At 46.8% G+C, this 15,170-nt stretch overlaps 1 protein-coding gene across 6 annotated transcripts in view; it reads left to right on the top strand.

Moving 5' to 3' along the window:
• Nucleotides 1-15,170, top strand: part of GALNT18 (polypeptide N-acetylgalactosaminyltransferase 18) — a 351,129-nt gene that overhangs the window by 32,911 nt on the left and 303,048 nt on the right. The gene's annotated exons all lie outside the window — the stretch shown is intronic.

The following is a 15,170-nucleotide window of genomic DNA, read 5'->3' as shown; positions in this document are numbered from 1 at the left end:
TGTCTGGGTTTCAGAGTCAGTTTATTTTCTTCCATCAGTTGGGAAGGTGATTCTATGCATAGGGATTCCTTGTATGGAATCTTTCCCAAGATAGGGCTTAGTGTATTGTGCCAGCTTTGACTTCAGTCACTCTGCTTGCTGATGCAACTGACCCTGCTTCATCAGGCCTGGGCAAAAACAGGCCCTTTTAGTAGAGTTCTAATGGGCACTGCTTGTTCGATGGTAATTAACTGGGTATTGGGAATTTCCTCAGTTCCAGATGTCTGGGAGTTAGAAACAAATAACATCTGTTCTCATCAAAAGGTAGAGTGGCAAAGTACAAATCACAAGTCACTCTCAATAAATGCAGGAGCTGGCGTTTGAGATCCACAGTGAAGCCAGATTACCTGTTTGCAGTACTCCTCTATGGATAGAGGAAACAGAGCTAAACATTTCCTCTGAGCCTGGAGCTGACCTGGATAAGCCTCTTCTTGCTTAACAGCACCCCTGAGTCTTCATCCAGATTTGGGAAGAGGATGAGGTTGGTTAGCATGCTGAGTGATAAGGAAGAAAAGGATACTGTGGAGCCCAGCACCTGTCTGATCTAGGGAGAGAATTCATGACTAGTAGACAGAGGCCAGAATTGACTCGCTTCACAGGAATCAAGGTGTAACATTATTCCTTCCCTCCCTCCTACTCTTCCTTTCTTCTTTCCATTTGTCCGTGCATCCATTGGTTTAGTCAACAGACATTTAAACAGTACTCACTAAATGCCAGATTCTTTGCTAGGTGACTGGAGGCATGCAAAGGGGGAGATGTAGTTCTGCCTACAAAAAGCTCACAGTCCAATAGGGGAGTGGAGACATGGACAGAAGTAATCCATTCCCAAGGTGAAAAGTGACTAGTGCCATAAGAAAAGGACAAGAAAGTGTGAGGGAAGGTTGGTGGGGATGAAACCAGGAAGGGGGTATGGCTCACTTCCAGCTGAGCAGATGGGTGTGTAGGTTTGGGGAAGTTTTCATGGAGAAAGAAGTATTTGAACTGAGCACTGAAAGATGGGGTAGATTTCAACTGCAGAAAGTTGGGGAAAGGGTTAGGAGCCTCAAGCAGAAGGACTTGTGTGTATAAAAGTGTGGAAGCTGGAAACAGCATGCCTATTTTGTAATTTATTGGTAGAGACATGCCACTCTTAGTGAATTAGTAGAAAGGCTTCCTTTCTCCCCCTGCCTCTCTCTTTCCTTTCGGATTTCTATATTTTGTGTTCTTATTATTCTTTGGACCATAGAAGAGGTTCATGAAATGAAAGGGTGGGGGCTAGAGATGGGGTGGGCTTTACCAACCATTGACTTTTCCCTCTTCTTTAAGTTTGATCACCTACCAGGGGAAGTCAAGGGGAAATGTTGCCTGTTAATTTTCCTTGTTATAGGTTGGTTTTGATGTTGATGACTGGTATTACTTCTCTAGGATATAACTTTGGAAACAGCATTGGTGAGGGCATTCCATGTAAAACATCAACTTCAGCTTTTCTGTTGTAGGGTATTTTCCGTGCTTGACTACTGATGGTCTTGCAAAGCTCCTGTATTCAAATCCTAGGCTGAGCTCCAGAGTGCTTCCTCCTAGATCGAGGCTTTGGATATGCTCACTGCTCATTAGCAACCTGCAGAAAAGCTGGGATGCAGTCTTCACTGATTTGGTGTGTAACGGATTCCTTGAAGGGAAGCCTGCTTTGCTGATGGGGTCAGCATACGTGGCGTACTGACATGGGAATCATGGCATTTCCAGCCAGTGCTCAACTCTGTGGAATGCTTCCCCTTTCAGCCCAAGTCTCAAATTGCCTCCAAGTTTCCTCATTTCTGAGAAAGTGAGCCAGTGAAGGTTGATATTCAAATATATAAACAGCTAATGTGGCATTTGGCAGTGTCCAATCAGAACCAGTCATATAGTGCTAGAGCAAATTGCTGTGCCAGGCAGTAACTGTTTTGTGGCTGGCTCTTGGGGAAGGTTTGGATACTGGGGGAGGGGTCAGGATAATGGGTGCTGGAAGCATCTCTCAAGTAACTTGGGAAAGCAGCTTTTTCTAAAATGGGAGGAAATTTGAGTTTATTTATTTATTTATTTATTTATTTGGAGATGGGGTTTCACTCTTGTTCCCCAGGCTGGAGTGCTTTGACACGATCTCGGCTCACTGCACCCTCCGCCTCCTGGGTTCAAGTGATTCTCCTGCCTCAGCCTCCTGAGTAGCTGGGATTACAGACGCCCGCCACCACACCTGGCTTTTTTTTGTGTGTGTGTGTGTGTGTTTTTAGTAGAGATGGTGTTTAACCATGTTGGCCAGGCTGGTCTCAAACTCCTGACCTCAGGTGATCTGCCCGCCTCGGCGTCCCAAAGGGCTGTGATTACAGGCATGAGCTACCAAGCCCGGCCTATTTCAGTATTTTAAGAACTGATATGGTGGAACCAGTGCATACCAGCTAAATATAAATGCTGAAACGTTTTATTTTTTTTAAAAGATCAACTATGTCCTGACTACAGCCTAAGCAAAAGGGTTCCTGGTGGTTTCTGCCTGTCAACAGGGAAGATCTCACTTCACAGAGGCTGAAACTGGGGCTAGTTATGGATGCTGGGCCCTGAACAGGTAGAATTTCCTATCTTTTAGCTATAGTTTAAGCCAGAAGTTTTCAAACTTTTTGGTCTTAGGACTCCTTTATGCTTGTAAAAATTATTGAAAACCCCAAGGGAGTTTTGTTGCTATAGGTTGTATCAGTTAATATTTGCCACAATAGAAATTTAAACTGAGAAAATTTCAAAATAATTATTTTATTTAACAATGGCAATAATAAACCCAATTACATAAATTAACATAAGTAGCACACTTTTTGTGAAAAAGAACTACAGACTCTTGGTACAATTTGTTTTAGTCCATTCAGACTGCTATAATAAAATACCCTAGATGGCATGGCTTATAAACAATAGAAATTTATTTTTCACAGTTCTGGAGGCCGGAAAGTCCAAGATCAAGGGGCCAGCAGATTCAGCATTTGGTAAGGGCCCACTGCCGGGTTCACAGACCACCACGTTCTTGTTCCATCCTAACATGGTGGAAGAGATAAGAAAGCTCTCTGGGCTCTCTTTCGTAAGGATACAAATCCCACCCATGAGGGCTCTACCCTCATGACCAAATCACCTCCCGAAGGCCCCACCTCCCTGGGTTAGGATTTTAGCATGTGACTTCTTTTGTGTGTGGGTGGGGGGCCACAAACATTCAGTCTATTGCAGTTTCCAAAGCAACAGCCAAAAAAAAAAAAAAAAAAAAACTTATTGAGAAGAGTGGCCTTGTTTTCTATTTTCACAAATCTTTTTGATACCTGGTTTGATAGAAGAAAAATGGAGTCTCACATTTACTTCTGCATTCAGCCTGTTGTGATATGTTGTTTTGGTTGAAGTATGAAAAAGATTTTTCGGCCGGGCGCGGTGGCTCATGCCTGTAATCCCAGCACTTTGGGAGGCCAAGGTGGGCGGATCACCTGAGGTCGGGAGTTCGAGACCAGCCTGACCAACATGGAAGAAACCCCATCTCTACAAAAAGTGCAAAATTAGCCAGGCGTGGTGGCGCATGCCTGTAATCCCAGCTACTCCGGAGGCTGAGGCAGGAAAATCGTTTGAACCTGGGAGACAGAGGCTGTGGTGAGCCAAGATCACGCCATTGTACTCCAGCCTGGGCAATAAGAGCAAAACTCCATCTCGGAAAAAAAAAAAAAAAAGATTTTTCTTCACAGATATATGTAGATGGGAAAAGAAGGAGTATTTTAATATTTTCAGATAATTATGGATATTCTTCTTTGATACTACACCCAAACTGGACAAGTGATAAGTTTCTAGAAGTTGGAGTGAAATCTGAAACCACATCAGTAAATGTTTTATATTCTGTTACATCAAAATCTGTGGTCTGCCTTGTACTTTGCTTATATCTTTTATCCAAGCATGATTTTGTAATATTATACATTAGTCATTTGGAAAGGATAAGCTCACAGAGTTAGGCAGATCTTCTAAATGTGGACATATTTTATTATACAGTGTGAAAAATCACTTCCATTAATATTACCATTTATATCATCAGAAGTCTTTAGGTGTTGGGAAGCCGTCAAGCTCATAGTGGTGGAGGCAAGTTTTCCATAATTATAAATTTTCCTTAAAAGCTTGGATTTTATCACTGGGGAAAAATATTATCACTTATTTTCCTTGGAGTGACAAGACTTTGAGAAAAGTTCACCAAATTCCCAAGTATGAATAATTATGATTTGTTCATCAGTTGTTCTTTTAAGTGAAAATAGTGTTTCATGAAAAAAGTACGTAGTTCATTGTCCACCTCGATTGTATAAGCTCTTTCTCTTGAGACAACCTTCATACTTCAGTCTGCAGCAGAAGTGCTTTATGTGTATGTGTGCTTATAAGATAGCACTGACTAATAGGAATAATTTACACTGTGACTCATTGGGTTTGCTTCTTTGCTCTCCACACTCCTCAGGAATCTCAAGGGGCAAACGGCTCTCTGTGGGTGTTTCACTGAAGACTCGCCTCTCGGTCCTTACGTGTTCAGACGTGCTTCTCTGAGCTCTGCCTCCATCATTCACTGCTGAGAATATGGCCAGTTGAAATGCACTGGAGAATAGGAACCCATTTCTCTTACGGCATCTCCCATCAGCTTTCCAACAGTAACCTGATGGCTCCAAGGTTCCTGTTTACTTTGATTTACTTTTCCAAGACTTTAAAATACAAACTGTCCCCTTGTGTTTGCAAGGTGTTATTTATTTATTTTTCTTCTTCCCTGGACATAACTTCCAGGCCTTTCCTGGCATAGGTCAGTGTCTATCCTCGAGCTTCCTGTCCCCAGCTGCTGGAAGGACACTTTGCTCTAATTTTATTGCCGCTGGCCCACTTGTCCTACCATTTGGAACCAAGTTCCCTGGAATCTCAGGGGCCGCTTCTTCTACTTCCCCTTTTTACTTCTCTCCGTATGTCCTCTTATCTCTTTTCTGCTTGACCACAGTTTTCAAAGCTTAAATCTGTCTCCAGCCAGCCCAGCTCATGATGCCATTCCTTTTCGAATTCCTATGTCCTCACAAGAATTCAGTTCATCTCTATTTCATTGAGTGTGACCTTGTGCTTTCATCTTGTGGGGAGCCGTTGACTTGTCTAAGACCATAATTCATTTATTTGGGCCTTATAATGATATTGAGATCATCTGCTCCTTGCAGACAGGGCTATTTCTTTATTTCTCCCTCCTAGCCCAGTGAATGCCTTGCACATCATGTGAGCTTAACCATTACTGGCCGATAGTGCTATAAGTCTGGTTTGATTTTTGCTTTTCTGAAAGGAGCTGAAGCTTTAAGCATTTTCCCTGACCACGTATGTGGTCAGGGCTTTGGAAATATCTTGGTGTGTGTTCTTCAAAATGTCGGCATTTGAAGAAGTGGCGTCTCATGGGACCTCTGGTCTTTGGATGTCCTACATTTGGGGAATGAGATGTAAATGTATCCTTTGCTGGGGCCAGGTGGAGAGGAATTTAGTAGCTACAACTCTTATTTATTGATTAAACTCAGCTTTCGTGCACTTTCCAGCCAGAAACAGAGCTAGAAACCTTTTTACCCCGTGGATTTTATTTTCACCTATGGATTCAGATAGTCTACATTTCTTCATTCATTCAGAATGTATGAATTGAGCTCCTCCTATGTACTTGGCACTGGTCAGCTGCTCTGGAGGACCCAAAGGCATCTGATAGGTCACCATCCATTATGAGATATAAGTGTGCACACAGAGGGCTAGCATCTAGAAGGACCAGCTGCTTTGAGAAATAGCCCCAGGATGGTCTTGCCAGAAATAGGAGACCAGGGTGGAATTGGCTTTGTGTTCCCTGACCAATAACTCAGCAGGAGACTGGTTCTGTGCTGCTGTGGAAAAACCTCATTAAAGGGACAAATTGAGTGTAACTTCTCAGGAAAGAGCTGGAAAGCACCAGGCTTTGCTGGCCCTCCTGGTTTTTATGGAAGAGCACATGAACGACCTTCCTGAGTTGAGTGTTGGCAGGACTTAGAGTCCCATGCCTCTCATTTTGGGATATAAAAATAGCATGGGGGATAATAGGATGGTTCAGGGAAATCTTAGATCTTCCTCTCTGCAGGACCATGACAACCACTTCTGTGGGGTGTGTGTGGCAGTGGCTGTGCTCTGTGGCTGTGGTGAGGAGTTGGAGAAAGAGGTGCAGCTGATGTGGGTCCGTTCTTCACTCAACAACTAGAGTAATCTTTTAAAAATGCTTACTTCCTAAAGCCCTGTAATGATTATTAATTGTAGGAAGAATAAGTTGCATCACCTTTGATGAGGGCTGAAAGGCTGTGTTGGTTAGTTTCCACTGGGTTATGCTGGAGCAACATCACAAAGGCTTTTAGCCCTCAATGTGTATTTCTACTGCATACTGAAAGTCTGCGCTGCTTCACACGATATCTACAATCCAGGAACTGGGCTGAGGGAGCAGCTATTGTTTCCATCTTGTGGCAGAGGAAAAGAGAACAATAGCTGTAAGTCATAATGGCTCTTAAAGCTTCTTCTCAAATTGGTGCATGTTTATCACTTCTGCTCCTATTCCAGTGGTCCAAGCAAGTGAGACAGTCACTCATTGTCACTGTGGGATGGGACACAGAATCCCCCACTGGATAGCACTGCAAGCCACGGGGCAACGGACAGGCATGCATAGCCCTCTTATAGGGAGGGGCAGTGAATGATTGGGAACAAAGGCCCTTTGCCTCCTGGCCATGCCCAGCTCCCTGCCCTTTTCTCCCTCCACTCTCTGAAGCCTCTCATTCTGCTCTGACCCATCAGCTTGTGCTGTTCTCAAACACATCAGCTTTGTTCCTGCTTCAGAGCCTTTGCCTGCTCTTTCCTCTTTCGGGAATGCCCTCTTCACTTTGTTCAGCCCTCTTCCCCATATGTCACCTCTCCAGGGAGGCTTTCCCTAGCAGCCCATTCTACTCTTTCCCACTGCCTCTGCTTGGTTTTTCCTAATACACAGTATACATGGAACCTCATGTATACTAGGAAATACTAGATTACTCATTTGTTGTCTTTCTCTTCCAGTAAACTGTAAACATCCTGGGGGCAGGGACTTTGTCCTCTTTAGCCCCCTATCTGGTATACCAGATGCCTGACATCTGGTGGACTTTCAATAATTAGATGTTGAATGTGAATGGCTGGTCACCTGTGGGTCTCAAAGAAAAGAGGCTCCCAGCATGTGGAGAGTGACCACCCTTTTAGGAATAAGCACAACCTCTCCCTGCCTGGCTGCTTCTATCCTGCTAAAGATGCAGCAGCCACATGCATTCTTTTTAGGCCCCTGGATGGAGAATTTCTCTTCGTCTGTGAGCTTAGCCAGGAGTGGGTAGCAGGAGCCAGGCGGGATAAAGTGCCCACTCGGCAGCCCCTGTTGAATTAATAACAAGCTGCACCCTTCAGGAGCCCTGCTCTGTGAGTGCAGCAGGTGACCAAGTCCTGCCAAGGGCTGGGGGTGTCATGGGGAGGGGGCAGGGGAGGAGGAGGGGAGGTCAGCTGGGGTCTCACTGTAGCGTGCCCCTGTCCTTGCTTGGATCAGTGTTTACCTCAAAAATAGCAGGAAATGCAGCAGCTATTACAGGTGGGCGAGGGAAGCAGAAAATCCTGGCAGGCATCCCCAGAAGGCAGGAATCACACATGACCAGCACCTGGCTCTGTTTAGAGTCTTTGTGTACCCGGATGAAAATGAATCTGTCACATTGGCCACAGCCAGTGCTCCTTGGTGATTCTGTGAGGCCTGCCTGTTGTACTGGCCTTCTCTTCTGCTCTGTACTTATACTCATCAACACCAGCATGGACAGTGCTGTCGGGGCCCCTACTCCAGCCCTGCCCCACCTCAGGCCTCAGGGCACTTTTGTCTCATGTCTTTGGAAGTCTCTCTGGCTGCCGCAGCCTTGGCTCAGCAAGCCGGCTTCTCTCGGGACACCAGCAAATAGACAAAACACATGCAGCACATAAATTGTCCTTATCAACACACACTGTCTCCCTCTTTCCAACGGCCGCAGGGAGCTGTGAAGCAGGCTTCAGGGTGGCACCGTGGAGGATGACACAGTCTTTGGCAACCTTTCACTAAAGTGCCTTGTGCCGGAGGACGGTGGAGATTACAAAAGTCACAATGCCACTGCCTAGTCCAGGGTAGGTTAGAAATAACCCTGGATCCTGTGGCTACAGAACTGCCCTTGGAGATGCTTCACAGCTGGTAAAGAGCTGTCCATCCTCTGCCCTAATCCCTGCTGAGCCCAGGAGTGAGTTAGGGATGGAGGCAGCCCTGCTATGGTGTGATGACCCTTGGTGTGGGCAGGGCCAATGGTCACTGGAACATGCTGGCATGGCCATATGGGCTGTCTTGACCAACATCTGTTCAGATTGGTTGGGTGTTCTGCATGGGCAGTGCCCATCTGTTCCAGTTGTTAAGTATTTTGAATAGTATTTCTGTGCGGAGGTCTCATTAATCTACAACTCCAGTGGCTGAGCTACCTGGCCACAGAACTGTAGACATTTGCACTGGAAAAATGAGGAAGAAGAGTTCAGTAGCAGGATGCGGAAGGGAGGGATTTTAAGTGGAGGAACAGTCTGGGCAAAAGCCGGGAAACATGAGAAGCCTGGGATGTTCATGGCTACATCTCAGGGACGGTCTTAGGAAAGCAAATTTGATGAGGAGGACCCAGGGCTAGTCTTTGGGGGTGGCGGGAGGGAGAAGGAATAAGATGGCACCTTCCTTGCTGTCGGATTGAGAACACATGAGGTTTGCCCTGAGTCTGCCGAGGTATTTCACCAAGGGGTTTGCATCTTGGGAACAAACTGGGAAACCTGGACCCAAACATGGAATGTGACAGGCCAAAGGTCACAATGGTGAGTTAGTGGCAACCCCAGGGTCAAAATGATTGTGAAAGAGAGTCTGTTTCACAGAGATATCTGTCTGTCTCTTTAACTCAATTTCCATTTTGCTTTTTTGTCTGAAGTTGAATAATACAGAACTTTCCACCGTCCAGACTCCCTCCACCTGGCCTTCCTCTCATCCTCTAGGAAGCCACCACACTGAGGGGTTGGGGCACATCTTTTGTTGAGTTTTCAGGTTTTCTGAAGGCATTTTATAGGAGAACTCACTGAGTCACAACTCAGAGGTTGACTACAGAATGTTCAAGCCACATTCTTCACAACCCCTGCTCCCAGGGCTCTCTCCTCACTGAAACAGAGTGAAAATGTGGAAATTAGCTCTTGAGCATTCCAGGGCTTAGCACATTGATTTATACAATTGTCTGTTGGCATGGCCTTAGAGCACACAGGAATGGGCTTAATCATTTATTCAGAAAGAGACAGGTTATCAATTAATCTTAATCGTACCTGCTCTTTCACTGCCCCTCCTCACAAGGAGCTCCAGGTGTCAGTCCCAAAGCCCAGGTCTAATCTTCACGGTTTCTGATGATGGCCTGCGATGCCCATGGGGTACCCTGGCGGGGTTCCAGAGGCTAGAGGCCTGATGGGTAGGACAGGGATAGAAACTCCCACCTCAACCCCCACCTAATCCGAGCAGCTCCATTCCATCTGTATTATATATTGAGGTTTGCATAGGAGTTTATTTGGACACACATTAAATGACGGAATTTGAAAATCACTACCTGAAGTGAGCAAGCCAGTGAGCAAGCCATATAGCCCAGCCGAGTAGCCTGCTGTCTGTCATCTTCTAGTCCTGGTCAAACCTAGAGTATGGTGACAGGTGGGGCTCGACTCAGGGCTCCCTAGATCCAGCAGACCAGGGTGGCTCAGTAAGTTCCTGAGAGCTGGCGCCATGCCACGGCTGCAGGACTGGAGCCTTCCTTTGCCATCACCGCCACTCAGCTAAACAAATGTCCAGATTCACATTTTTCTCCAGTGGGATTGTGTCTGCCCACAGCCAGTTCCCAGCCAAACCTATGTGTCTGCTGGGGTGCTGCTGGCTGGGAAACCCGAGCCGCCCTCTTGGCTGTCTTTGTTTTTTCCCTGGCTGCCCTGTGATGCTGCCCTTCCTTCTTTCCTTCCTTCCTTCCTGAAGCCAGGGGGCAAGAGAGGCCACCCCATCCCTTTTGGGTTTCCAGGGAGCCAGCTGGTCCAAGCCTCAAGTTCTTCGCTGCTGACATAGCCCTTTCCATTTCTAACAAGGCACAAGGCATCAGAAGGTGGTTTTTAGGAAAGAGCTGTTAGGGAAAGGTTGGCTGGGATTGCACCTCCCTTTCTTCTCCCCTTCATTGATTTTGCTAATGCAGCAGGAGTCCCGAAGGAAGGCAGCAGCCTGCAAGGGGATCACGTTGCCCATTTGTCCTGCGCACAGGAGGCCCGGCTGCTGCGACGCACAACCTTGACATCCCGCCTCATCTCCTGACCCGGGAGGTGGGGTCTCTTATGAAGATGCCTTGTCGCTTTTTGCTTTTTCTCTTTCTTCTTTCTGTAAAAGCCAAGCAATACATTCAACCTGGTGAAGGAAAGGATAAAAGGGAAACCTCTTCTTAATTGGCTTAAGGCCATTGCACACATTACCAGGTGCACTCAAACTGCAATTTACTTTTTAATTAAAATTCTTTTTACCTGCAGGAAAGCTGAACATTGGGCCAGTGTTCTCTTACTTGAAAAGGGTGTTTTGGGGACCAGTTAAAAGGAGAAAGTGTGGGGATTATTTGGCTTATTGAGTTTTTTTTTTTTTTTTTTGGTTCTTTTTATGTTTTTCGGCTCCTTCTCATGACTGGCTGTCTTTTGCTAGCCAGTGACCTGCAGGAGCGTCAGCCCCAGATCCTTGTACAAACCTGATGGCTGCTGGGGTTCTCCTGACTCACCTCCTCCCTGCCCTTATGCCATGGGACATTGTCAGCCTTCGTGGGAGTTCAGCACCTTCTGGGACATGTGTCACAGTCTCCTCTGTGTCTGGCTGAGGCTCGTGTGCCTGTGGGCCATGTTTTGCCCCAGGTCAATGCTGGCAAGAAAACCATTCCCTCTCGCAGTTCTGGATGAGACATTCAGAGCACTTTCATTTTAGGGAAGGGTCCTGGGGACAGTCACATTTTGGAGCTGAGGCTGGCTTTCTCCTTCTCCTATCAAATTGCTTCTTGCCCTTTTCCTGCCAAATGCCCCTGCCAATCTGTATTCCTCCCTCTCATTATATGAAACAGTTTCTTCTTCCTGGAAGCCTTGGCCACACCAATAACCACCCACGCCCTGTCTTCTTAATTCTATTTAATCACTTCCCAAACCAATGATCTTCCTAATGAAGATGCTCTCTCCCTCAAAGTGCCAGCCGGGAGCTTGTCTGCCTCCTCTTGACAAGAAGATGAGAGCTTCCCTCTTTCCTAGGGCATGGTCCCGAATCCTCCAGCCCTTCTGAATCGATTTGGGGTGTTGAGCCTAGGATTCTGTGCTTCTTCAAAAGCTCCAGCCCAGCTTCTCTGGGCTTTACTTAGGCCCCCTTGTTTAGGGGTGAGAGAATGGATGCAGGCCCTCACCAGTGACATTCTCTCTAACAAAACGGAAATTGGAGGGGTGGGGTTTTTGCACTATGCAGTGTGTGAGTGGCTTCCTTTCTGGCACACAGTGGTGACTCAGCTGCTGATATACTAGGCAGTTTTCAGAGAGTGGACGGAGAAGGTTCAGAGCTGACCTGCCCAGGAGCAGGGCTGGACAGCAGGGCTGCTCCAGCTGGTGCCAGGTTCCATTCTGGGGCCTGGGGCAATTCAGTGGCTCCCACAGTGGTCGTCTCCGCTCATCTGCTGAGTCCACCAGGGTCTGGTGGGTGTGAAGTTGAAAGATGATGACAATAATCAGAATAATGGCTACCATTACTGAGCCCCTGGAATGGGCCAGGTACTTGCTGAATGCAGCACATACGTTATTTCATTTCATCCGCACTGCAGATGTGTGAGGTAAGTATCATCATCCCCCTTTCACAGATGAGGAAACTGAGCTCAGGGCACACAGCCAGCCAGCGCTGCAGATACGTGAGCCTGCATCGAGGTGACAGTCTGACAGTCTCAAAGGCAGGAAAAAGAGTTAAACAACTGCTGAAGTCTGAGTTTTGGCCTCCATCTTGTCCTGAACAGTCGTGAAGGCCTGCCTTCAGCCAGCCACCCCATCTGCTCTGTCTCTGTGGCACTAAAGGTGTGCGTTCACACCATGAAACTGGCCCTCAGGCCATGGCCAAAGGAGAGAAATTTGTTCTGTGCGAGGGCAAAAACAAAAAAGTGATTGTTTAGAGTTCAGTTTATAAAAGCACATTCTCATGTCAGATAATGTGGGCCCCACACGCAGACCCCGATCTCATTAGTGCCATGCACTAACCCGGCTAAGGGAACAGGCCCAGCCCCTAGCCCAAGCTTCAGAGTTGGGTGGGTCTAGGGTCGAGTCCTAGCTTCATTTCCTTCCAGCTGTGTGGCCTCAATTTCCTAATCTGTGGAACGGGATAATCATCTTTCCTCCTATGGTCATTATGAAAGTTACACAAAAGTTGCACATTCAGAGTGCCTGGGATGACCTAGAGTACATGCCTGCATGTTGTAGGTGAACATTTCAACAAATGTTAATACCTCCTTACCCCTGCTCCAACCCCACTGTCCTCTCTTATATCTGCACCTGGTTAAACCCACATCTTGTGGCTGATCTCTTTGGGGCAATTACTATAGCTGGAATGATATGATACTCTGTCATTTAGATGTTTCTTTTAATCAGCCTAAACCCAGGCTGTGAAACCAAGATGGCTCTGCCTGGAGCCACAGCCTGGTGAGCAGCGATGAGGGTCTGACCAAGGTCCTGCCCTGGAGTCAGTGCTTGGGAACCTGGTCAGGTGCAGTTGGTGCAGGAGCAGGACTCTGGCTAGAGAAGGGCAGCCTGGGCTCCCTTATGCCCTAGGGATTTCACACATGCCAGGCTGCTTCTGCCTTCTGGAAACAAATGTACAATAGGTAGCCCAGTGGTTCAGTGGAAGTGCCTGAAACCCTGGCTCTGTCTCTTTCTATGTGACCTTGAGTTTGTTGCTGCACCTCTCTGAACCAGTTTCTTCTGCGAAATTGGGGATCAGGTCACCTCCCCTCCCCAGCAGTGAGATTGTGACTATTGTAAGTCTTCCATATATATGGTTATTATTTTCAATATTTAAAGCAGATGTCGCATTTCGTCCTCAAAGGAGTGGCCATGATGATAATTTGTTTTGTCTAGAATGGTTGATGACTTATCAGTGAGGTCCTCACTTAGCTGAGTGGCTCCCCTCCTTCCTCCCTTCTTTTCCTCTTCTCTCCTTTCTCCTCCCTTTCATCTTTTCACAGCATTTGCTGTTTTTCAGACACACTGTGCTGGGTTCTGGGGAGGATGTGAGGAAGGGGAGCAGCTTACATCCTCATGGAACTCATGGCCTCATATAACAGAAAACAGAGAGCAGGAGTTCCAAGGCATGAGAACTCAATTCAACGTTTGCCCGAAAGGAATTTTGAAGTCATCTTATCCAAATGAAGAGACTGAGGTTTCAAAGGGAGGAGGGCCTGGGCCCAGAACCTGCAGGCTCACATCCAGCCTCCTTGCCTACCCTCCTTCACAGGCTTCCTTTGTAGGCTCTCTCCTCCTGAGAGGTCAGAGGGTGGGCCTTGCCTTGGATGATCAGGAAAAGCTTTAGTGGGCCTACAGCTGTTTAGTTTGAGAAGAGAAAGATGTAGGGGTTAGGAAGGGGGTGCCAGGAGGAAGTAATAGCTTGATCAAAGATGTGGCAGCCTCAAAGCAGAGGCTGAACCAGGGATGGCAGGCTCTGGAGTGGGACAAAGGTGCCTTGGTCCTCCTCCCAGCCCCACACCCCACCCACAGAGACTGTGACCGTTCAGTGGCTTACAGATGCAATGGACTGGCTTCCACTGCCCCATACCCTGCCAGGAATTAGTTGTGTTCATGGTAATGAGCTTGGACCCTGGAAGCTCTAGACTGGCTTAAATAAACCTCTCTTAAATGTTGGATTTATGATGCATTTTGCATAATAGTAGCAGTACTCAGCCAGGCACATGCTAGATAGATGAACCCAAATACTTAAAGAAACCTGGTCCAAGAACACCAATGAAAAATACCTCTTGATAAATCATGACTATTAATTTGCATGCTTTGGGTCTGAGAGGCTGGAGCAAACAATTCTTTAGCCTCCGGGGAGTGTTGAGCAGCAAACCTTTATGAACGCTCAGAGTAATTTATACTAATGCTTCTGCTCTGTCCTTGCTTTCCTAATACGACTCCTTTGCTGGGAGAGATATTAAATTGGCTCCATCTGTTTTGTGTGGATCTCTTAGCTGTCCTGCAGAAGGGATTCCCCTTGACATCAGCTCCTGCCTGCACCCAGAGTGTCTTTTGCTTCCTTTTAGCCATCTGGTAGGTGCTGGTAGATGGACTTTCATGATAGGAGACAGGCCTCAAACCTAAATAAACCTCATGTGACGTCATGATGGCCATGATGCTGTGGATTCCTTTAAGTGGATGAAAGCCCAAGCTAGAAGCCAGGTGTGATGCTTCTTCCTGGAAGATAGGACATCATGTGGCATAGCCAGAATTTGGATGTAGTTAAGAATTGAGGGAGGTTCTTATGTTTTGATATCAAAATCAGACCTTTAAGTCCAGACCAGGGAGATGGTTCACCCATGGTACCTATCCAGCCCTCAGGTTCTCTACTCCCCCAGTCTAGGGAGCAGATTTGACCAGATTTCTGGTCTGAGCAGGGCTGGGATTCATTTGTAGCCTTCAGAAGCCATCTACTTTCTCCAGTGCCATCTATAAAGTGTAGTTCCAGTTTTTTGGGTCTGACCTAGTGTGCAGTTGTCCTATAGGCAACCTCAGGGAATGGTAACCTCTCTATCACTCATGTACTGATAGAACTTCTTATGAGGCAGTATGTACCCTTCCTCTCCCATGGGGCATGGGGAGCCACATACCTACAATAATTGACTTGCCTAGATTGTCCTCTGATTGTTGAAAGATGCTACAGTGTCATGTGGAAAGCTCAGGCTCAGGGGCCTAGATTTGAATGTCAGCTCTTTCTCAGAGTAGTTAGGTGACCTTGGGCAGCCATCCTAATTTCTCTGAACTCTGCCTTCTATAATGAG

This window comes from Homo sapiens, chromosome 11 (genome assembly GCF_000001405.40).
Source record: "Homo sapiens chromosome 11, GRCh38.p14 Primary Assembly".
Classification (NCBI taxonomy): domain Eukaryota; kingdom Metazoa; phylum Chordata; class Mammalia; order Primates; family Hominidae; genus Homo; species Homo sapiens.
The sequence above is the reverse complement of the archived record's forward strand: the minus strand, read 5'-3'. Positions and strand labels throughout refer to the sequence as shown.